The sequence below is a fragment of the Homo sapiens genome, chromosome 1 (genome assembly GCF_000001405.40).
Source record: "Homo sapiens chromosome 1, GRCh38.p14 Primary Assembly".
In the NCBI taxonomy this organism is placed as follows: Eukaryota; Metazoa; Chordata; class Mammalia; order Primates; family Hominidae; genus Homo; species Homo sapiens.
The window spans coordinates 25,819,954-25,843,279 of NC_000001.11; the positions used below are offsets into that span (position 1 = coordinate 25,819,954).

The 23,326-nt window shown below is 45.6% G+C and overlaps 2 protein-coding genes and 1 long non-coding RNA gene across 8 annotated transcripts in view, besides 3 other annotated features; 1 reads left to right on the forward strand and 2 right to left on the reverse strand.

The window, feature by feature from the left end:
- LOC646471 (uncharacterized) lies at window positions 1–3,653 on the reverse strand. The gene has a single exon (NR_024498.1). It is a non-coding gene; the product is annotated as an uncharacterized LOC646471 (long non-coding RNA).
- MTFR1L (mitochondrial fission regulator 1 like) lies at window positions 1–12,985 on the forward strand. Of its 4 annotated transcripts, none has more exons than NM_001099625.2 (7): window positions 1–76; window positions 3,066–3,175; window positions 3,691–3,795; window positions 6,349–6,458; window positions 6,662–6,873; window positions 9,556–9,877; window positions 11,968–12,985. In NM_001099625.2, exons 2-7 carry the CDS (start codon window positions 3,152–3,154, stop codon window positions 12,071–12,073), a joined length of 879 nt encoding a protein of 292 aa, NP_001093095.1. In that variant the 5' UTR covers window positions 1–76; window positions 3,066–3,151; the 3' UTR covers window positions 12,074–12,985. The 4 variants fall into 4 exon arrangements, with proteins under 4 accessions (NP_001093095.1, NP_001093097.1, NP_062457.3 ...); NM_001099627.2 differs by having other exon boundaries at window positions 9,665–9,877; NM_019557.6 differs by lacking the exon at window positions 1–76 and adding an exon at window positions 255–461.
- Window positions 187–326: an enhancer, noted in NCBI's record as "active region_466". NCBI's record gives its function as "activates an Ori minimal core promoter by ATAC-STARR-seq in GM12878 lymphoblastoid cells {active_cell/tissue: GM12878}" and the evidence as "EXISTENCE:reporter gene assay evidence [ECO:0000049][PMID:35858748]".
- Window positions 427–596: a silencer, noted in NCBI's record as "silent region_463". NCBI's record gives its function as "represses an Ori minimal core promoter by ATAC-STARR-seq in GM12878 lymphoblastoid cells {active_cell/tissue: GM12878}" and the evidence as "EXISTENCE:reporter gene assay evidence [ECO:0000049][PMID:35858748]".
- Window positions 707–796: an enhancer, noted in NCBI's record as "active region_467". NCBI's record gives its function as "activates an Ori minimal core promoter by ATAC-STARR-seq in GM12878 lymphoblastoid cells {active_cell/tissue: GM12878}" and the evidence as "EXISTENCE:reporter gene assay evidence [ECO:0000049][PMID:35858748]".
- AUNIP (aurora kinase A and ninein interacting protein) overlaps window positions 11,953–23,326 on the reverse strand; it is a 27,552-nt gene continuing 16,178 nt past the window's right edge. For 2 of the 3 annotated variants that reach the window (NM_024037.3, XM_047430116.1), the window contains exons 2-3: window positions 17,460–17,601; window positions 14,053–15,893 (exon numbers count right to left, since the gene is read on the reverse strand). In NM_024037.3, the coding sequence (NP_076942.1) occupies window positions 15,040–15,893; window positions 17,460–17,601 (996 nt within the window). In that variant the 3' untranslated portion in view covers window positions 14,053–15,039. Of the gene's footprint in view, window positions 12,206–14,052; window positions 15,894–17,459; window positions 17,602–23,326 lie in introns of those variants that run through there. The other variant, NM_001287490.2, reaches the window with a different exon arrangement.

Here is a 23,326-nt window from a genome sequence, read left to right on the forward strand (position 1 = left end):
AGGGCGGTTGAGGCTGGGCGGCCCAAGGTGGAAGGAGGGGCCGTGAGGTGAGAGAGTCCGGGAGCCCGAGCTTGAGGTGAGAAAGGTTCTAGGGAGGCGCGGAGGCGGGAGCGCGACCTTCCAGCCCGTTAGTAGACTGGGTCTACGTGCCGGGCGCTGTGCGGAGCCCGCAGCTCCTGTTCCCGCGCGAGTTCTCGCGGGAGCCGCAGCTGTCCGTCTCACTTGGCCCGGGGGAAACTGAGTCCCCGAAGGGTAGTTGCTCGTCGGAGTTCCCCAGCAAACAGTGACCAAGCCAGACCTCAGGCTTCTAGTTTCGGCTTCGCTGCTTGACGGGCCGGGCTGCCCCGCCGCGCATTCTGAGACCTGGCCGCGGCTCGGAGGCTTCCGCGCACTCGGGTCCGGGTCCTGTGGGTCCAAGGGCCGCTGGGCAGGCGGCGAGCACTTGGCCGACCTTGGCCCAGGTCGGGTCGTCTGCCGCGGGGGAGGGGCGACTCGCCCTGGCGGGTCCCCGCGGGGAGAGGGTCCGCGCGGGTCTCCGGCCACTGCTGCGCGCGGCAAAGTTTCACTGAGCGCGGCGGCCTCCGTGGGGGCCCCCGGGACCAGGGGTGCTGAGCAGGGCCCTGCGCTGGAGGAGCTCCCGTTCTCCTGAGGGGACGCCTGTCAGCAGACAGCAACTGCAGCCTCCGGAGGGCTGCGGGGCGCAGAGGTGACAAGACCCACCGGTGCTGCCGGCGAACCGGGGGAAGATCTTCTAGCCAGTGACACTTGGGGGCGGGGGTGACAGCTGAGTTGGTGTTCCCCTTCATTCGTTTAGTTCAGCGCGTTGAAGCGCTCACTGTGTCCTAGGCAGACACCGTGCTGTGCGCGGGGATCACAGTTATCTAGTTCCTCTCGCGAGGACTCCGAGGGACAGGCAGGGTGCTGCGGAGCGCACAGGAAAGGACCTGACCCTGTCGCAGGGAAGGAAGGTGATGCTTAAGCTGAGCTCTGAGGAATGATGAAGAATGAGCTCGGCGAAGGGGGTGCTGGTGTTTGATGCAGGGCTCAGAGGTGGGCCCAGTGTTGGGGGTTGAGGGCCAGTGTGGCTGGAGGGCAAGGGGGAGAGCAGGAGGGCTGGCTGCGAAGCGTGCAGGCCTTGGTGCTCAGTGAATGTGGTCTAGAGACGGCAGAGAAAGATGGGTTTGGGACTGATTGTGGATTTTATCCTGTGTTGGCTCTAGTAAGCCAGTTTTAAACGGATGAGCGATGTGATTAACTGTGTTTGGGAAGGATTCCTCTGGCTGTGTGTGAGGGTTAGGCCCGGCTGGGTCTTTGGAGGTAAGGTCGGAGAGGAAGTGGCAGTAAGCACCGTTAGTGCAATTTGTGGCCGACACGGACATTCAGCACAGAGCCTGGCACACAGAGGGACTCTGATAATAAAGGCTTGAACTGAGCCGAGAAGATGGAGCCCACGCAGGAGGTGGCAGGACCTGGACCAGGCTTTGGGTGCTTTGCACTGGCATGACCACTGAGTGACCTTAGACAAGTGCCTTCCCCTGTCCAACTTCCTTTCCCCATGTGTATCGTGAAGTGAATGACACCTCGTCTCCCAAGGGTAGAAGAGGGGACCCTCCACAGGAGGTCTCCAGAAAGAGCTGCTTTGTCAGTCTAGTCTATCTCCCATTCAGAGCCTGTCCAGGGCTCCCCAGTGACCCGGACCTCATGACTTGCCCCCTACTTTTGTAGCTTTATCATGCTCTGCTCCTCTTTCCATGTCCTTCACCTTCTTGTGCTGGACCTGTGCTCTTGCTGTTTTGTCTTCATTTCCTACTCCCTCGCAACTTACTACAGGGCACTAGGGCCAGAGCTCTGACCTCATCTGGCCACCTGCCTAATGCTACTCAGCCTTTGCTAGAAGTATGTATTCATGTCCTATCACTCTGCTGGACAGCGAGTTCCTTGAGAGCATGACTGTGTCTTACTCCTTCCATAGCCCCTACGGTGCCCAGCACAAGGCCTGGCACAAGTGGGTACTGTTGGTGTTTGATGAACAAGTGAATGAACGAGCACACTGATTGCATCTGCTCACCATGCAAGGACTGCTGTGAAGAGCAGTCAGATGTCACCTCACCCATCTGTGTCATGTTTTAACAGTTCATTAAGCACTCAACCCCATTTCACTCATTGACCCTTAAGGTAGCCTCCAGTGGCAGCTTTTCCTGTCTCCTTTTTCCAGATGGAAAAACCAACATTCAGAAAAGTTAAATAACTTGCCTGTAGCTACAAAGCCAGAAGGTGGCTGAGCCAGGATAAACTTTTTTGGCTCTTTTTCTCTGTAGCTCATGAGACTGAGATTGGCATGAGCTGGTGTTCGTTCTCCTATTTTCTCTGATCTCTCCCTTTGCAAGGGCCCAGCAGTGCTTTTACATCTCATCTTCAAGAATGAATCCTGGGCTTGGATAGTACTTATAATTTGGCTAGATGAGCTTTGTAGCTACCAAGGATTCTATTTGCATCTTTAGAAGTTTTGCCTCAAGAAACCTGAGAGCCCAGGAAGGCTCTTGGGTTGGCCAAGCTCACTAGGCAAATCTTTTTTTTTTTTTTTTTTTTTTGAGACGGAGTCTCGCTCTGTCACCCAGGTTGGAGTGCAGTGGCGTGATCTCGGCTCACTGCAAGCTCTGCCTCCTGGGTTCACGCCATTCTCCTGCCTCAGCCTCCCAAGTAGCTGGTACTACAGGTGCCCGCCACCACACCTGGCTAATTTTTTGTATTTTTAGTAGAGACAGGGCTTCACTGTGTTAGCCAGGATGGTCTCGCTCTCCTGACCTCGTGATCCGCCCACCTCGGCCTCCCAAAGTGCTGGGATTACAGATGTGAGCCACTGCGCCTGGCCGCAGATCTTTAACAGAACCTTTAAGAGTCTGGACTTAGAGCTAAGTGTTGGGTGAGGGCAGCCTCTTGGGCTGGTTTTCTCCCCTGTGAAGTCATGGCTCTGCAGGGCCTGGTTTTTTGGGGCTTGTGTGGTGACCATTAAATCCCCACTGTGGGGGGTTGTTTCACAAGAGGGAAATCTGGTGCTCCTCCAGATGGCCTGATATGAAGGAGTCACGCCTCCCGCCTCCCGGAGCTGCCCAGTGGCTGCCTTGTCCTTCAAGTGCAGGAGCTGGTTCAAATGTCAGGAATGGAAGCCACTGTGGTAAGGGGCATTCCCAGGGCAGGGGTATGGTGGGGAAGGTTGGGTGCTGGGCCTGCTGAAGTACTGTAAAAGGTTCTGAGACTCTCCAGTTGAGCACTCCTTTCTCCAGAGGCCTGGAATTGGAGCAAGGCCACCGTTTCACTCCCTCCCCCTAAGAAGAACCAACTATGATCCTGGGGCACTTCAGGAGTCAGTGTATGTCTGCCTTTCTGTACAGAGGACGGGAAGGAAAGCCTGGATAATCTCTACACTCAGCTACTTCCTCTCCCCTTCCCTGACCCTCCCAACATTGACTGCCTTAGCAGCAGCAGGTATTCCCTTGGGTGGCTGGCCAGGGTGTAGGCTGGCAACTGGGGAACCTGCCCTCACTATAATTGAGAGTTGACTTGCCCCTAGAGAGTGCCCTGTCCCTAGGTTTGTGGAATTCAGTCTCCACAAACCTAGAGAGGAGAGGACAAGGACAGTAGTTGGATTCATTCTCTGGGGTTGTAGCTGTCTCCGTCTCTTTGCTCCAGACCATCCCAATCTGGCAAAACAAGCCACATGGGGCTGCTCGAAGTGTAGTAAGAAGAATTGGGACCAACCTACCCTTGAAGCCGTGTGCCCGGGCGTCCTTTGAGGTGAGTATGTTGGAAGGGCAGGAGAGTAGAGGCTCAGACAGTGCTGCTTCTGTGCCCCAAACCCCTTGGTACTGCCCAAGTAGGTTGTTTCCTGGTCACTTTTCATTCTGTTATGAAATATTTGTTAAATGCTTATAAGATATCCTGGTCACTGTGTCCTCCTGAGTGCATACAAACCTGTGACCACAAGGAACCTGACAGGTCCCCCACATGGGACACTGACTATTGTGATTTTTGAGTTGAACTCTGCTTTTCTTCACCAGCCCTAAGAATTGACCATGTAGCCAGTATTTTTATTTTATTATTTTTTGAGATGAGGTCTCCCTATGTTGCCCAGGCTAGGTCTTAAACTCCTGGGCTCAAGCAGTCCTCCTGCCTCAGCCTCCTATGTAGCTGGGATTACAGGCACAAGCCACCATGCCCAGCTCCACTATTTTTAGTGTTTCTCTGAGGCCATAATTCCTCAGCCTTCTCTTTTTGGCCAATCTGGGCATCCTTTACTGGGGTGCTTTGGTCTTACCTCTGTGTCTAGGGATCCTTTAGCACCCACTCAGCAGCAGAGATTCCTACCTGGCCCAGGTCTCTTGAGACCCCTTCTGTGGTAGAAAGCTAAGTAGCATTTATTAGTCCCAGCTGCCTCCCTCTAGGAACTAAATGGTTAAGCACCAGCCCCAAACTATATGGTTCAGATGTGTGCATTTGGAGAGCTGGGATACAAAAGAAATACTTGTGCTTTCTACCCACACAGAGGAGATAGAAATATGTGCATGAAAGGATGTGGGCCCAGGTAGAAACAGAAATGAAGGAGCCAAATCTGTATAAAAGATGCTAAGAAGCAGAGTCTGTAGGAACTGGATCTGGAATTAGAAGAGGTGTCAGGGTTGGTATTAGGGTCAGGAATGGAGTTGGAAGTGTCGCAGGGGTAGGGGGCAGGAAAAGCTGTCCCAGTATTCAGATTGCCAGCTATCCAGAATTGTCTAAAGATCCTGGGCAGGAACTGGTCCTAACTTGCCTCAGAAGCATCAGAAAAAAAAAAGGGAGACAGCTAGGGAGTGTGGCTCACTGCATAGAGGCCGTCCCCACACTTGGCTATACCCTCTTCAGTTCTTTGGCCAGATGCTGGGCAGAGACAATCAAGGGCACAGGCTCTCACAGAGCAGGAATGTATGTGAGCAGTATTGGTAATACTAGATAACATTTACTGAGCACATACTATGTGTCAGGCACTGTGCTGTACTTTATATTTGTTTACTCATTTAATTGCCAAGAGCAAAGGAGCATTCAGGGCTAATCAGGAAAACAAATGGAGGCTTCCCCCAAATGCCCTATTTTAGCACTAGTTCCTGGGTCACTGGAAGTTCTTCTCTGTGTGACCTTGGAGTATCACTTAACTCCTGTGAGTCCCAGGTTTCCTATCTAAATGCAGGAGCGATCAATCCTGGATCCATCTACCATACCAAATAATTTGTAGCAGAAACAGTTGAATCTTACTTGTGTGTAAATATGCATTTATTATTATTATTAAATTACCTTAAATATTATTTAAGGGACTCTTACCAATTTATTTTGAAAATTTAAGCATATGAAAATATTAAAATTATGAAAAGTAAAAGGAAAATAAATTACCTATAATTACATAGTAATAATACAATAACTATTAATGTCTTAGTGTAGTCCTCTTTTTCTAGATGGATGTTTTTTACTTTGTTGTAATCACAGTCAACATGACTGAATCCTAATTTTTCACTTTACTCAACATCTCTAGGTTGAGGAGCTATTTTAAGAAATCCTATTATGGTTCCTTTTGTATAATCATTTATTTTTATTTAAATCTAAATATATTCAAATTTTCAGGTTTGTTTAAAACAGCATTGCTGTAACAATGTAGATCTCAATTAGCTATACAGGATTATAAAAAGCTAGTCAGGAAAAATTTCCTATTGCTGTAACAGGTTGTGGATGACCTTGTACTTGTATTTTCACCAGAGGGCACAGTGGTTTTAGACAGTTGCCATCTCTACTAAAAGGTGACTCAGGCCTTTTCCACTGAAGACACAGAACTGTTTGTAATCCCATAGACTCTCATGTGTCTTGCCTGTTTTTGTTTTTGAATGTGGCTCTGTTGTCCACGCTAGAGTACAGTGGTGCAATCTCAGCTCACTGCAACCTCTGCCTCCCAGGTTCAAGCCATCTTCCCACCTCAGTCTCCTGAATAGCTGGGACTACAGGCGTATACCACCATACCCAGATAATTTTTGTATTTTTTGGTAGAGGCAGGGTTTTGCCATGTTGCCCAGGCTGATCTCAAACTCTTGGTCTCAAGCATTCTGCCTGCCTCGGCCTCCCAAATGCTGGGATTACAGGTGTGAGCCACCATGCCTGACTGTCATCTGGCCTCTGTTCAATGTTTTCGACCAGGAACCTTCTTCTGCCCCCTCTAGGAAGCCTTCCTGACACCCAGTGCCGGATTAGGTACCCCTCCTGTGTATTCTGCAGTTTCTGATTGGCTCATCATGGCATCTGTAAATGTTGATGACTTTTGCTTCTCCATAGACCCTGCCCAACATCTCTGACCTGTGTTTGAGAGATGTGCCCCCAGTCCCTACCCTGGCTGACATCGCCTGGATTGCTGCGGATGAAGAGGAGACATATGCCCGGGTCAGGTAGTTGAGGCAGTAGCTGGTCTGCTAAGGAATGGAGAACTTCCCAGAAGAGGTGGCAGGCAGCAAGGAGAGAGGAATGAGAACTGTGGGCTCAGAGAGGAGCAGAACCTTACTATACTACTCTCACAGAAGTGGGGGAAGGAACCTTAGGAGCACAGTGGCCTGCTGTCTCTAACTGATCTACTTGGTTTTCCCTGGTCCAGGAGTGATACGCGCCCCCTGAGGCACACCTGGAAACCCAGCCCTCTGATTGTCATGCAGCGCAATGCCTCTGTTCCCAACCTGCGTGGGTCCGAGGAGAGGCTTCTGGCCCTGAAGAAGCCAGCTCTGCCAGCCCTAAGCCGCACTACTGAGCTGCAGGACGAGCTGAGCCACTTGCGCAGCCAGATTGCAAAGATAGTGGCAGCTGATGCAGGTAGGAGCCCCTGTGCCAGGGCCAGAACGTAACAGGCTGTTCCTTTCCCCTGGCTCTTGGGCAGGATAGGGGTAAAGAAAGTGGTAATCCTTGGTTTGCAGGTACTTAGGTTCCGGGCCCTGGGGTTGTCCTGAAGCCTGGCTAGCCAGTAGTGCCTCTTAGATGGTTTCTACCAGCCATTTTGGGCTGAATGGTTTGGTTAAGAACAAAATATTAACCTGTGACCCCAGGCAGAGTCCCTCCCTTAGCCCCCAAACTGATACCCTCTTCTAAGTGTCTTTAAGATCACATCTTACATAAGCCCACAGTAGCTTTTTTTTTTTCTCCTCTGAGTGAGTCTTGCTCTGTCGCCCAGGCTGGAAGTGCAGTGGCACGATCTTAGTTCACTGCACTCTGCCTCCCAGGTGCAAGCGATTCTCCTGCCTCAGCCTCCTGAGTAGCTGGGACTACAGGGGTGTGCCACCAGGCCTGGCTAATTTTTATATTTTTAGTAGAGACAGAGTTCCACCATGTTGGCCAGGCTGGTCTTGTATTCCTGACCTCAGATGACCCACCCACCTCAGCCTCTCAAAGTGCTGGGATTATAGGTGTGAGCCACCGAGCCCAGCCAGTTTTCCTTTTTTTGGAGACAGGGTCCTGGTTCTTGCTCTGTTGCCCAGGCTGGAGTGCAGTGGCGCAATCTTGGCTCACTGCAACCTCTGCCTCCCAGGCTCAAGCGATTCTCGTGCCTCAGCCTCCTGAGTAGCTGGAATTACGGGTGTGCACCACCACACCTGGCTAATTTTTTTATTTTTAGTAGAGACGGGGTTTTGCCACATTAATCAGGCTGGTCTCAAACTCCTGGCCTCAAGCAATCCACCCAGCTCGGCCTTCCAAAGTGCTAAGATTATAGGCATGAGCCACTGTGCCCGCGGTTGAAACAAGAGTCTCATTCTGTCACCCAGGTTGGAGTGCGGTGGCACGATCTTGGCTCACTGCAACCTCCACCTCCTGGGTTCAAGCAGTTCTCGTGCCTCTGCCTCCCGAGTAGCTGGGATTATAGGCGCATGCCACCATGCCCAGCTAATTTTTTGTATTTTTAGTAGAGATAGGGTTTCGCCATTGCCCAGGCTGGTCTCAAACTCCTGAGCTCAAGCAATCCACTTGCCTCAGCCTCCCAAAATGCTAGGATTACAACCATGAGCCACCGCGCCCTGCTTTCCTTTTCAATACAAGAAGTAAACATTCCCCCCACCACCACTGAGACTTACCCTTTTTAAGCACCTATCTTCCCTTGCCTTGTTGTTTCTACCAGGAATCACAAGTGGCTTTACCACTTCAGTTCTTATACTGCTAGTGACATTGTCCCCATGCCCCACCCTTCAAAGTGGGGAGTTTCATGACATTATGTTATGTTTTCTTATCTCAAATTGGTGGACTTTTTTGGTGGAAGGAGAATTTCATAAAGTTGGAGATCTTGGCCTTAAAATACAGTGGTCGGGCACTGTGGCTTACGCCTGTAATCCCAACACTTTGGAAGGCTGAGGTGGGTGGATCACCTGAGGTCAGGAGTTCGAGACCAGCCTGGCCAACATGGTGAAACCCTGTCTCTATAAAAAATACAAAAATTAGCTGGGCATCGCAGCATGTGCCTTGAACCTGGAAGGTGGAGGTGGAGGCAGAGGTGGAGGTTGCAATGAGCTGAAGTTGCACCACTGCACTCCAGCATGGGCGACAGAGTGAGACTCCGTCTCAAAAAAAGAAAAAAAAAAAACAGTGGTCTATTATGCAAACAAGCCCTGTAACCCACCCCTCCAGCTTTCTGTCTACAGTTAAGGCAGAACCACTGGAAATGGATGGGAAGCCTGCCTTAACCAGAGGCATGGACAGCCAACAGGTGGATCGCTCCCAAGATGCTCAGGGCTTATCTTCATATTCCTCCCATCCTCATTTTTTCACTCTGCATTGACTCAGAGTCATAGCTCTGAAATTTATCATTTGGTAGGACACATGAAAATCATGGTGTTCTTTGAAATCTTCATGTATTTAATTTCTTCACATGGAAGTTTTATGAAGAATTGTACTGAAACTTTGTTATTTCTTGGCTACTTTTTTGTCATCCAAGAGACAAGCAGAAGTAACATCTTTTTTAGAAACATAGTTTTTAGTGTATTTAGTGTTTTTAAAGTATTTTTAGAAATGTAAAAACTGAGGAAATTCTCTCCACTGAAATTTGGGGAGGTTGGGAGGTCTGTTACCATTCTGGTTTTGCTCAGAACATGTCTTCTAGTTCACAGATAGCAAGATTTCAAAGGAGCATAGTCAAAAGCACTAGTCTAGTTAGAGAAAAGGACAAATTCAGGCCTTAGCTCTTATCTCTGCTGCTTTGGCCTATGACAGGGCTGTCACTCCACAGCCTATTGTGGAATGGGAGCTTTTAAATGCCAAGGCCATTATGGGGCTGGGTTTTCCTGCCTTCCTGGAACACTGGAAAAGCCCAGTGCTTCTACAGCTTTCTGAGCCCCCGAGTGAGAAGCATAGTGGAATGACCCTCCACTGGCTACAGATACCATCCTGGCTCTCCCAGATTGTCATGGTGTCAGCCCAGGAAATGAATGTTCAGTAGGCAGGGCTGTGGGGAGAAGATATTGCTACTGTGTTCTAGCCCCAATGTCCACCCATGCCTATTGTTTTCTCTTTCAGCTTCGGCTTCATTAACGCCAGATTTCTTATCTCCAGGAAGTTCAAATGTCTCTTCTCCCTTACCTTGTTTTGGATCCTCATTCCACTCTACAACTTCCTTTGTCATTAGTGACATCACCGAGGAGACAGAGGTGGAGGTCCCTGAGCTTCCATCAGTCCCCCTGCTTTGTTCTGCCAGCCCTGAATGTTGCAAACCAGAACACAAAGCTGCCTGCAGTTCGTCTGAAGAGGATGACTGCGTCTCTTTGTCCAAGGCCAGCAGCTTTGCAGACATGATGGGTATCCTGAAGGACTTTCACCGAATGAAACAGAGTCAAGATCTGTAAGTATCTGATGAGGAGCTCTGGTATCTATTTACTCAGAGTTGCCCATGGCCAATTATGTAATGCAACATACTTACATAGTAAGTTCTTAGTAGTACCATATGTTATGTCATTCATAAAGCTTGCTGACTACCTGCTTGCCAGTGCCTGGGGCCCCAGTTTGAGGAAAGAGCAACACTACATTTATTGGGTTTGGTCACCCCAACCAAATATGAGGCTAGTAGGGATTTTACAAGAAGGCTCATCTAATCCAACTTCTGTCCTCAGGTGGCTTTACCACTTCAGTCCTCATACTGCTAGTGACAGTGTCTTCATGGCCCACCCTTCAAAGTGAGGGGTTGCATGACATTATGTTTTGTTATGTTTTCTTATCTCAAATTGGTAGACTTTTTTGGTGGGAGGAGAATTTCATAAAGTTGGAGATTTCTGCTTTAAAATACAGTGGTCCATTGTGCAAACAAACCCTGCACATTCAGTGATTTGAGAATAAGGCTTTTGAGACTCACCAGTAGTTCCGAAACCTAGCTGCCCATCAGAATTGCTCAGATTTGTTAAAAATACACCTTTAACTTACTAAAGTAGAACCCCAAGGAGTGGAGCTCTAGGTTTTTCCGATGGAGTATGAGGGTCTTTGGGGAATACCTACCTTGAAAAACTTCATCTGGCAAAGAAGCCTCAGGGAGTCACCCCATTGCATAGTGTTTCTCCAGTTGTGGGTTGCGGTTTCAACAGCTGCACAGGACTCACCAGAGGAGCTTGGTTTGAATGCAGGTTCCTGGGCATTTGAGAGCCAGACCTTGATGGCCAGCACCCAGCTTGTGCAGCTCTGTTTGTTAATGCAGATGAAAAACTGTTTTGGGGACAGGGAAGCGAGGTCCTCTCCTGAGTTGATAAAGTTCTTGTTAAAGGGAAAGTTACTTGCCCTGGATCCCTTTTTGTCTCCTGGGATCCATTTCCCTCTGAAAAGTAGACCAGGCTAAGTGACTCCCTCATTGCTTCCTGGCAGTTGACCCATTTAGGGAAGTCACTCTTAACCTTCCTTCACTGGCCCTAGTCAGGTTGGTCATACTCACCCATATCTCTTTGGTCTTCCACATTCCCAAATTCAGTTGCTGCTGTTTTTGGTCTTCTCTGAGCTGTCTTCTTCTGAACAAAATGTTTTATAGGTTGACTCTCAAACTTTCTCTTACTTGCCTTTTGGACCAAATTAGATTCAAGACCCTTATTGCTAGCCCCCTCCTCCCACTTGTGTCCTCAGATCAGAAGGAGCTGGGTCAGTGAATAAGAATGGGAAAGTACCCCAGTCAGCAAAGGTTCAGATATGTCACCAACCAAACGCAGTCCCTCTTGTTTTTGCTTTGAAGGTTGAATAGTCAGTCTTGGCTCTTATATTTAGCTTAATCACCAGTAAAACACCTTCATGATGAATGTATATAAGTTCACTAGGATTTCAAGCAACTATTTTCCAGGTATCTAGGACCCTCTTATATGATGTATCAGATAACTTGGGCCTACTTCAGTCTGGAGTTGGTTTTGTTCCCATGAGTTTCTTATGTGAATGTTTTGCTCTAATTCTGGCTCTCATAAAAAATCATCTCCCCTGAAGGGGAGACCCGGTGGTAGGAAATCCCAAGCACACCTTTTCTCCAGAACTATCAAGGGTCAGAATAGCCAAGAGTCATCAGTCACTTCCCCTGCTGACCCTCTGGGGAAATGCTACTAAGAAAACAGGGCCAGAAGGCAGAAGCTTAGCCACCAGAGGCCAACTCTAACAGACTGATGGTCCTTTACTTTGCCCATACTTTATAGCTATTTCAGGAAATAGTAAAGCATTCTAGTTAATAGATGAGATCTGGAACCAGCTAGTTTGGTTCTGAACTCTGGATTCACCGCTTACTTGCTGAGTGACTAGTGACCTTGGGCAACTTGTATAACCTTTCTGTGCTTCAATTTCCTTATCTGTGAAAGGGAATTGTAATGGCACCTACCTCGTAAGATTGTTGTGAGGATTCAACGAGATAATGTATTCAAAAGATATACAGCACTACACAGGAAAGAGTAAGTACTCAAGCTATTATTGTGTCTCTAGGAACCGGAGTTTATTGAAGGAGGAAGACCCTGCTGTGCTTATCTCTGAGGTCCTAAGGAGGAAGTTTGCTCTAAAGGAAGAAGATATCAGTAGAAAAGGAAATTGACAACCCTCAGCTCTGCAAACTCAGTCTCATGCTCCTGGAATACCTTCAATAGCTGCCTTCCTCACCGCAGATGTTTCTGCCTCTTAAGGATAGATCTTCTGCAACAGTCTTGCTGACAAGCTAGAGCTTGGACTGAAAGAGAAGAGCTGGATTATATATTTCCCAGACTTCAAACCCTAGCAGAAGCTAAGGCTTGTGATTTGACCTGAGACATTTGTTTCAGGTAATCGTGTAGAATGAAGTATCTTAGTTTAAAGGGTAAGAGAGAAGTTGTTTCTGGTTTTTCCTTGCCCCTGTGTGAAAATAGGTCCTAAATGACTGACTTCACTGCATTAGACCCTATAGCTGGTCTCACAAGACACTTTGTGCCCAGCTGTCACTCACTCAGCAGCTTCCTTGCAGCAGAGCAGGGCTGAGGGGAAGGGGCTATGAATGTTTGTATACATGTTCACAGGGCACGGAAAATCTTATGCTGCTCCGTCATAAACCTACACCAATGCCCAGCAATCACCCTCCTCACTTCCTTGTCTAGATGTAGAGGTCAGGCTGCTGAACCAGCCAACACATGGGCTACTGCTGGGAAGCCTGGGCTGTTTTTTTTCTTAAACACATTTTATATTACTGAACAACCAAATCTACCCTCCACGGCCCTGAGGCCTTATCAGTTCCACTGATTAAAAACTTTCTCTTCCACGGACTTTAAGCCCGGTAGGAAAGAGAGAGGAGGAGGGGGAAAGAGCAAACCATCTTTCTTCCAGGCCCTTGACTGCTCCTTTGGGCTGGGCCAAGGTTTGTATGTACCACACCATGCATGACTCAGATGCCCTCAGGTCCCTTTCTCTATGGTATGTATACTGCTTGTGTTTGGGTTGAAGCACTACCTGACATTAAAGGAAGGACTTGGAGAGAGAATGCATTTGCTGTGTCCATCTCTTGAGTTGCGATTACCCAGTATCCTTCAGGGGCATAGGATTATTGTTAATTTTAAGGTGTATGAACTTAAACAGGCTACTGGCTTCTCCTCTTTCCTTATAAGGTCCTGCCCTTCTAGGGGGTTTCTTCCCCCTTTCTGTAGAGATTTTGCCCTATACTCTTTTTCTTTTTTTTAGAAACAGTATCTAGCTCTGTCATGCCGGAGTGCAGTGGTGGGATCATTAGCTAACTGCAGCCTCCAAACTCCTGGGCTCAAGTGAGCCTCCCACCTTAGCCTCCTGAGTAGCTGGGACTACAGGTATGCACCACCACACCCAGGAAATTTTTAAATTTTTTTGTAGCGATGGGGTCTTGCTATGTTGCCCAGGCTGGTCTTAAACTCCTGGTCTCAAGCAAACCTCCCACCTCAGCCTCCCAGAGCGTTGAGATTACAGACATGAGCCACCGCACTAAGCCCCATACATTCTTAAAAGCAGGTCTTCCAGGAAAATGACTGGAGAGATGACATACACGATAAAAGTAGAATTTAACATTTAAATTAGGCCAGGCACAGTGGCTCACACCTCTAATCACAGCACTTTGGGAGTTCAAGATCAGCCTGGGCAACAAAGCAAGACCTCATCTCTACAAAATATTTTAAAAATAATTAGCTGGGCATGGTGGCATGTGCCTATAGTTCAGCTACTCGGGAGGCTGAGGTGGGAGAATCACTTGCGCCCAGGAGGTCCAGGCTGCAGTGAACCGTGTTCATGCCACCACACTCCAGCCTGGGCAAGAGAGCGAGACCGTGTCTCAAAAAAATAAAATTTAAGTTAAAAAAAAAAAAAGAAGCAGTTCTCTTATAACCTTGCAAGTTTGTCCCTTAGAGGTTGTTTAAGCCTCTTAGATACCACATCAACAACAAGGAATAATGCCTTGGGTAGAAGACAGGTCAAACTAGACTCTGGTTCAGATCAGGCTCAGGGCAATGACAGCATATACTATTACAGTGTTGCCTTTTCAAAAATAAAATTGGTAATGGTTTAATTACCAATTATCACAAGAGCCACTTTGTAAACATTTATTTGGATTCATAGTTTTACAAAGGGGATTCCCTCCTATCTTGTGGGAAAAGGGTAACAGAGTCACATCCAGATTGTTGTACAGCTCAGGCTTTTTAAGGGAGATATTTAAACATAGAGTATATAACTTTAAAGTGCTGTACAGTTACCACAAAAATAAAATAGGAAACTAGCACCATTCTACCTCTCTTCTCTCCACACCTGGGTTGTGGGGAGATTTGCTAATCACTGAAAAAAAAGGGTCAAGAGTAATCATCCCAAGCTTAGGCTGATGTGGGTTAAGATCAGCCAGAGATTAAAAGCTCACACATCTGGCTGGGCGCGGTGGCTTATGCCTGTAATCTCAGCACTTTGGGAGGCTGAGGTGGGCGGATCAGGAGGTCAGGAGATGGAGACCATCCTGGCTAATATGGTGAAACCTCGTCTCTACTAAAAATCCAAAAAAAATTAGCTGGGCGTGGTGGCGCATGCCTGTAGTCCCTGCTATTCGGGAGGCTGAGGCAGGAGAATCGCTTGAATCCGGGAGACAGAGGGTGCAGTGAGCTGAGGTCGCACCACTGCACTCCAGCCTGGCAACAGAGCGAGACTCCATCTCAAAAAAAAAAAAAAAAAAACACATCCATAAGCAAGGTCCCAGTCAGACATCTGGAAGGGCAAAGAGATGGCTCTGTGCAGGCTGAGTAAAAGGCACTTTCATAGAGATAAATACCCACTGTGCTGCCTCAGTGTTCATCATAGACTCATTCAGGGAATTTACCAGCCACCACCTTCCTGAGGGAAAGCCATGATGCCAATCCCACTGTCTTAACAATGGTACTGCCCTTTATTTACACAGAGAAGATGCTCAGTAATGACAACTTCATCCCATGCCACCTTCCCACCTAAACAAACTCACTCCTCTCTCCACCCACAACTATATTTTCCTACATCTCTATCATTTCAAGGTACTTTTAGAAACAAAGCTTCAAACATTTAGAATTGGTGTCTGATAACTTGATTACCTTCAGAGTCCTGGGTAAAGAGCAAATCAGGCTTCAGATTTTGAGTTGGCCCATCCTCCTGGCACTGAGCCCAAGGACTGTTAGGAAACGGCCCTAAGTCCCAATTCCAGTTATTGGTTACATCTTGAAAAGGAGCTCTAGTGTTGTGGGCAATGACCCGCTGGCCTTGAGAATCTTCAGTGAAAAGTTGACTCCAGGAGTCCTTGTCATTCTTTTCATTGTCCCAGGAAAACACAGAAACTGGACTACGGCTTTGTTTCACTGATTCTATGTTTTCTCCATTCCAGGATTCCCTGTATGTTTGAAGGAGGACAGGGGCCTGCCTGTTTTCTTTGGCAGACACCTTTCTTTCCAATTTAGTCTTGCCTAAGGGCTGACAGCATTTGTCCCCAGGTAGTTTGGTGTGTTTCTCCATACTCTGATAGTTCTTCTTAGACTCATGAAGCCATTCCCATTTCCTGGCAGAATCCCCTTTTTCTTCCTTTCGGTCTAGCAAACAAGAACTTTCCAAGTCCTCGGTGAAGGAAAAAGCCAGTGGGGTATGACTATCTCCAGCACAGTCTGGAGTATCAGGCTGGAGCAAAGATAGCTCAGTTGAAAATGGGGTTTTCATTCTGTGGTGGCCAGAAGTCTGGAGGGACTGAGGAGAGAGTCCAGCTTCCTGGATGTCTGCAGTGGTTGAAGTGGCTAAAGGGGATGCCATGCAATCGTGTGCTAAGCCTGGGATCAAATGGTCTAGCTGGGTCGCATTTTTCTTGGACTCTTTGTTGATCTGACTTTCTGTATGAGATGAAACACTCTTCTGGTCACTGCCATTTGTCTTTCCTAATAAAACAGGAATGAACAAATATTATTCTGCAGAAAAACTGCCCTAAGCAGGATTCAGTTGGCTTTTTCTGAAATCAGTATCAGCTACTATTACTACCTAGTGCAGGAGTCTTAAGACTCTTCACATAACTTTGTAGCCAATCTTCCTGTTTTCAATCTTGCCAGTCTATCATGAATAAACTCTAAAACATCAGATCTTATATTCCCTACTCAAATACATGGATACTTCCCATCACCTACCTAATAAAGTCAAACATCGCATACGATCAGACCATAGCCTACTTTACCAGCTGAGTTTTCATTTGTAGGTTTGTTTAACATACGGCACATCAGTTTTGCTTTTGTTTTTTATTTAATGTGGTTTTTTACTAAATGGTGATCCTGGTCAAATATACATTCCTAGACATTATCCTTAAAGAAACATGCTAAACACATACTAGTTTTGTAAGGTCTTAAAGATGACATTAACTATCCAACTCTGAGAAACCTTCTGGTGACAGTGTGAAAAACGTGGGTCCTCCACTCCCCAGGCATTTCATTGGAAAGGGAGTGAAGACACAATTAGGATGCTAAGTCAATCAGTAGGTAGAATAGTGAAACAACTACTAGTGTCCAGCCTGTTAATTTTATCAGGCATAGAGTGGATTCTGTTCTGCCTTAAGATAAGGATGGAGGACATGGAATTCCCAACTTGGCTCAAATTGTTCCAAGATCTAATTATAAAAACAAAGCAGAATAACTGATTTCCTCTTTCCTTCTACAATAAGAATTATACTGCAGAAACTAGGTTTTGTGAGAATTCTCAACTTTTCCTTAGCATTCAATATAGACTATAAAATACACCAGAATTTGTAAGTGGAAAAAGTGGGTTTTTTGTTTGTTTTTTTTAAATCTGCCCTTACATAAAGCAAAAGAGTGTACGTTTTTGTTTGGAGGAGGGAGAGGGCATTTTGAAGGTTTAGGCAAAGCAATCCTGAGAATCACACCCGGCATTAGAGCACTCTTCCCAACACCCTCCAAGTGGCAGGAACCCTGCTGTTTAAGGCCCAGCCTGCTCTGAGTCAGCTGCTCCCCTGAACAGGGACCTGGAAGCAAAGAACAGCCAAAGGAAGAGACATAAGCCAACTTTATGTGAGGCTAAGAAAAAGCATCTTTGAACCTTTCACTAATTTGAGAAGCGTCACACAAAAGTATCAATTATTAATTAACCTTAGACAGAGTACCCACTGTGGCCAACCCAAGATATATACCACCTAACTAATGGCAGGGCAACTCCCCAGTGCACCTCCAACTCCCAAGTACACCCTTCCTGACTGCTCTGTCAGCAAATACAAATATTTAATATTAAGCTGAGCAAAACAGAACCAGAAAAGTATGTTTGTAAAAGTACACATATATTGCTTTTCAAAAGGCAACAACTTATGTTTTATAACCTCTTCTAACAGGCTAAGTTTAACACAATGCACTGGTTTCACCATTTCTCATAAATGGTCTAACATGGACAAATGAACACACTCCTTTTTTGCTCTGGATAATGAAGTATTCCCATATGGGTCACCATACCTGGCTGCAAGGTGAAGAAGGAAGCAATGCTTCTCTGGTGAATGCCTGTAGATGGAGCTCTTCTTTGAGTAAAATAAATATTAGCCTTTCTTTCTCCAGGAAGGAGTGTTAGCATTTTGGTGCCTGGTTTGATTAAATGTGTCTGAGAAAGGAGAGAAAAAAGAATAATGAGCCTATTAATATTAAAAGACATACAGTAGAGATTCAGTACACACCAGTGATCCTCTGAGAACCACACTAGATCCTCTGTACTCCACTTATAGCCTATTCTCAAGGTAGTTGGTGCTGGACATCATCTTCCATTTCCAGCCATTGTAACGGTGTTTTTCTCAGGAATCACATATTCCAATGATAGCCCAATCTTTCTGCTTCCCCATGGAAATCAGGCTGACTAAACAAACAGGATTTGTTAACAGGATGGCAGAGATGATGCTCTTTTATATTTAAGGATAATTAATGATTCTACAGCAGCAGTTGATGCATTTTCAGTAGTTTTAAAGTAGTCACATAGTGGTGGTTAAGAGCATGGCTCAAGAATCAGTCCTTGGCCGGGCGCGGTGGCTCACGCCTGTAATCCCAGCACTTTGGGAGGCTGAGGCGGGCAGATAAGGAGGTCAGGAGTTCGAGACTAGCCTGACCAACATGGCGAAACCCCGTCTCTACTAAAAATACAAAAAAAAAAAAAAATCAGTCCTAGTTCTGCCACTGCCACTTTGCTATGTGACCTTCTCCAAGTTGCTTAATCTCATTCTTAGGTGTCAAATGACAATAATAGTACCTATCCATATGGCAGTTATGAAAATTTAGTAAGGCCAGGCGTGGTGGCTCACACCTGTAATCCCAACACTTTGGGAGGCCGAGGCGGGTGGATCACGAGGTCAGGAGTTCAAGACCAGCCTGGCCAATATGGTGAAACCCTGTCTCTACTAAAAATACAAAAATTAGCCAGGCGTGGTGGCAAGCGCCTGTAGCCCCAGCTACTTGGGAGGCTGAGGCAGAAGAATCGCTTTAACCAGGGAGGCGGAGGTTGCAATGAGCCGAGATTGTGCCACTGCACTCCAGCCTGGGCGACAGAGCAAGACTCCGTTTCAAAAAAAAAAAAGGAAAAAAGAAAATTTAGTAAATTTATTCACATAAAAGGCTTACACAGTTCCCGGCACATAGAAAACATTCAGTAGCAGTTGGCTAATATTAAGAGGAGGAGCAGTGGAACAGCACCAGTCTCACTACACTTTTAACTCAGGCGCTTTTATTCTTTAGAGAATGGAACTGGAAGATAGGCAAGAGAGGTTTGAAAAGTGAGTTGTCAACTAACTATAAATATAACCTCATCCTTATTTAATGTGATTTGTTTTTATTTCCATTTGCTTGTTAAAGAATGCCTGAGAAGTAGGGCAAATAGGATTATATTCAATTCAATTTTGCTGTGTCTGCCAAAAAACAAGTAAGATTTGCCACTATTCATGCAGCAAGTTAGAGGTAGGCCTGAATCTTGAAGCCGAGTTATTTATTCTAACTCAAAGTTGACTTCATTTTTACATTTGGAAACTAAGTTGTACTTTAAGTGGTTAAAAAAAGAAAGAAATCATGGGGGTAAATTCATACTTCAACATGTTGTGTTGCTGGTACAGAATCTTCTCTTCCACCACATACAACTAGAAAACTGGATCAAAGATACATGAAAAAATTGATATAAACAGCAGACAACAGGCAGTAAAGAATTGTGATCCTTGAGAAAAGGGAAACAAATAAGGTGAGCCCTGTGATCATTCCAGCTTTCTGCCCAGAAGTGCTTTGCAGACCACAATGTATCTTTCTTCAGGAATTGAGTAGACTGAGATTGGAATTTGTGGAAACTGAGGTGGCTGAGATTTGCAGTGCAGAGAAAGACCTCCAGAAGGGAGACCTCTGCATAGGGATCCCTTTAGTCCATTACTGAATACTAACCTACACATGTATTAGGTGAAACCCCACAAAGCCAGGCAATGAAACTGCAAACTGGAATTGCAAGCTGAGCAATTCCCAGAGCTCACACAGGCTGGGGGACATCTGCGTTCCCACTATCTGGATAGGATGATCTTGAATACCAGGGACATTCATTAGAGCTCTAAGGAGAATCATCCTTTAGTAGTAGAGCTAAACTAGCCCTAGAGCAAAAACTATTCCAAACACTTGCCTTAACAAAGCTTAAAAGCAAGCTTTGAAAGTATCAAGCTGACTAGCAAGTAACTACCTGCCAAAACAATTTTCAATATTCTTTTTTTTTTTGAGACGAAGTCTCACTCTTGTTGCCCAGGCTGGAGTACAATGGCACAATCTCAGCTCACTGCAACCTCTGCCTCCCGGGTTCAAGCGATTCTCCTACCTCAGCCTCCTGAGCAGCTGGGATTACAACAGGTGCCTGCCACCATGCCTGGCTAATTTTTGTATTTTTAGTAGAGATGAGGTTTCACCATGTTGGCCAAGCTGGTCTCGAACTCCTGACCTCAGGTGATCTGCCCACCTGGCCTCCCGAAGTGTTGGGATTACAGGTGTGACCCACCACGCCTGGCCAATATTCTTTAAAGACAACAATATCCAGATACTTAATGTAGCACTTGTAATGTCTAGCATGCAATAAAAAATTACTAGATATGTGAAGCAGAAAAATACTGTAATTGGGGTGGGGGTGAATCTGTTAATAGAAACAGACCCAGAAATGTGATAGATAAGAGAATTAGCAGACAAGTTAACAGTTAACTTAAAATAGTTGGAATAAATATGCGCAAGGATTTGAAGGAAAATATGAACATAATAAGGTGAGAAAATAGAAGATATAAAAAAAAATTCAACAGATGAGCTTAACGACAGATTGGAGACTACAGAAGAAAATAACAGTGAACCTGAAGACAATAGTAACACAAACTATACAAAATGAAGCAGAGAGAAAAAAATAACTGAAAAGGAAGAAGCAAAGTCTTAGTGAGATATAAAGCATACATATAATTAGTCTCAAAAAAACAATGTGGAGGGGGACAGAAAATATGTTTGAAGAAATAAGGGCCAAAAAGTTTTCCAAATTTTGTGAAAATTATAAACAACTGTAACATTCTTTTTCAAAGATAGCCAATACGAGATCTCCCATTTCACATGTTCTTCTTATGTGACTATGACACTCTTCCCATCAAGTGTTATGAAGTCCTTATTCCCTCACCTTGAACTTGGAAAGTACTTTATGACTACTTTGAACAATAAGGTATGACAGAAGTAACAAACACCATACATGATTTCCAAAACTAAGTCATAAAAATGCCATGCACTTCTGCCTTGCCCTCTTGAGGTGCTCACTCTTGGGACCAACTCAATACATTTGAGGATACCCAAGCTGACACATGGCTCTCTAAATTTTATAGGAGCCACATCCTAGATATGTAAAATAATGCGGTTAGTATGCCAACAAATATTTGAGTACCTATATGCTAGGACTGGGAAGATAGCGATGAACAAAATAGACTTTCTGCTCCAGTAAAGTTTATAGCTTAAGAGAGAATAATAGACTAATAAATAGTTATTTAAATTACTACAAGTATGCTAAGTCCTATAAAGAAGTTTTACAGAAAACTACAGATTATCAGAAAACACTAAGACCTCAATTAGCAAAACATCTGGGAATAAAGCTTTTTGCCAAGTTGGCAGGAGCTGAAGGATGTACCTTCCGTAGGTCAGAGTGCGGTCAGAACTGATACTGTCCCAGTTATAGCTCTCTTAGAAGACCCATGGCTTCAAGGATCTACCTCTATCTCAGTGGACTGTTATGACTGTGTGAGAAAAGGTTATTTGGAACTGAGAAAGATCCCAGGTACAAAGTCCTTCAGCTGATTATCCCTACCTCAAAATAAAGGCGGCTGTTTGTATTTTATACAGTATAGACATACCTTATTTTATTGCACCTTGCTTTACACTTTGAAGATGTGTTTTTGTTTTTGTTTTTACAAATTGAAGGTTTGTGGCAAGCCTGTGTTGAGCAAGTCCGTCAGTGCCATTTTCCAACAGCATGTGCTCAGTTCATGTCTGTGTCCCATTTTGGTACTTCTTGCAGTATTCCAAACTTTTTCATTATTGTATCTGTGATCAGTGATTTTTTTTTTTTTTTAGATGGAGTCTCGCTGTCACCCAGGCTGGAGTGCAGTGGCACGATCTCGGCTCACTGCAACCTCTGCCTCCTGGGTTCACGCCATTCTCCTGCCTCAGCCTCCCGAGTAGCTGGGACTACAGGTGCTGGCCACCACGCCCGGCTAATTTTTTTGTATTTTTAGTAGAGACGGGGTTTCACTGTGTTGGCCAGGATGGTCTCGATCTCCTGACCTCGTGATCCGCCCGCCTCGGCCTCCCAAAGTGCTGAGATTACAGGCGTGAGCCACTGCGCCTGGCCAATCAGTGATCTTTAATGTTACTATTGTAATTGTTTTGGGGCACCATGAACCACATCTCTATATGATGGCAAACTTCATCAATAAATGTTGTGCATGTTTTGACTGTTCCACTCACTGGCCACTGCCTCAACTCTCTCCCTCTCCTTGGGCTGCCCTATTTAATACTGAAATTAGGCCAATGAAGAACTCTATAATGGCCTCTAAGTGTTCAAGTGAAAGGAGAAGTCATAGGTCTCTCACTTTAAATCAAAAGCTAGAAATGATCATGCTTAAGTGAGGAAGACATGCCCCAAGAGGCCAAAAGCTGAGCCTTTTGCATCAAACAGCCAAGTTGTAAATGCAAAGGAAAAGTTCTTGAAGGAAATTATAAGTGCCACTCCAGTGAAAACACAAATAAGAAAGCAAAACAGCCTTATTGCTGATATGAAGAAAGTTTGAGTGGTCTGGATAAATGATCAAAGTAGCCACAACATTCGCTTAAGTCAAAGCCTAATTCAGAGAGCAAGGCTTTAACTTGAATTCAATTCTATGCAAGCTGAGAGAGGTGAGGAACGCCACAGAAGAAAAGTTTGAAGCTAGCAGAGGCTGGTTCATGAGGTTGAAGGAAAAAAACTGTCCCTATAACATAAAAAGTACAGGTGAAGCAGCGAGTGCTGATGCAGAAGCTGCAATAAGTTATCCAGAAGATCTAGCTAAGATCACTGATGAAGGTGGCTACACAAAACAACAGATTGTCACTGTAGACGAAATAGTCTTACATAGGAAGAAGATGCCATCTCGGACTTCCGTAGCTACAGAGAAGTCAATGCCTGGCTCCAAAGCATCAAAGGACAGGATGACTCTCTTGTTAGGGGCTAATGCAGCTAGTGATTTAAAGCCAAGGCTCACCTAATATTCTGAAAATCCTTAGGCCTTAAGAATTATGCTATATCTACTCTGCCTGTGGTCTATAAATGGAACAACAAAGCCTGGATGACAGCACATCTATTTATAGCATGGTTTACTGAATATTTCAAGCCCACTCTTGACTTTCTACTGCTTAGAAAGATTATTTTCAAAATATTACTGTTCATTAGCTGGGCACAGTGGCTCACACCTGTAATCCCAGAATTTTGGGAGGCTGAGGCAGGCAGATTGCTTGAGCCTAGGAGTTTGAGACCAGCCTGGGCAACATGGTGAGACTCCGTCTCTACAAAAAATTTAAAAATTAGCAAGGTGTGGTGACATGCACCTGTAGTCCCAGCTACTTGGGAGGCCAAAGTGGGAGGATCTCTTGAGCCCAGGCTGGAGTGTAGTGAGCCATGATCATGCCACAGCACTCCAGCCAGGGTGACAGAGACCCCATCTCAAAAAAAAAAAAAATATATATATATATATATTTTACTGCTCATTGATAATGTTCCTAGCCACTCAAGAGCTTGATGGAGATGTACAAGAAGATTAATGTTTTCATGC

Coding starts and splice junctions, on each gene's coding strand:
- MTFR1L (NM_001099625.2), top strand. CDS start 3,152: ATGTCAGGAATGGAAGCCACTGTG. Junction 3,176..3,690: donor CAGGAATGGAAGCCACTGTG/GTAAGGGGCATT, acceptor TCTTTGCTCCAG/ACCATCCCAATCTGGCAAAA. Junction 9,878..11,967: donor ATGAAACAGAGTCAAGATCT/GTAAGTATCTGA, acceptor TTGTGTCTCTAG/GAACCGGAGTTTATTGAAGG.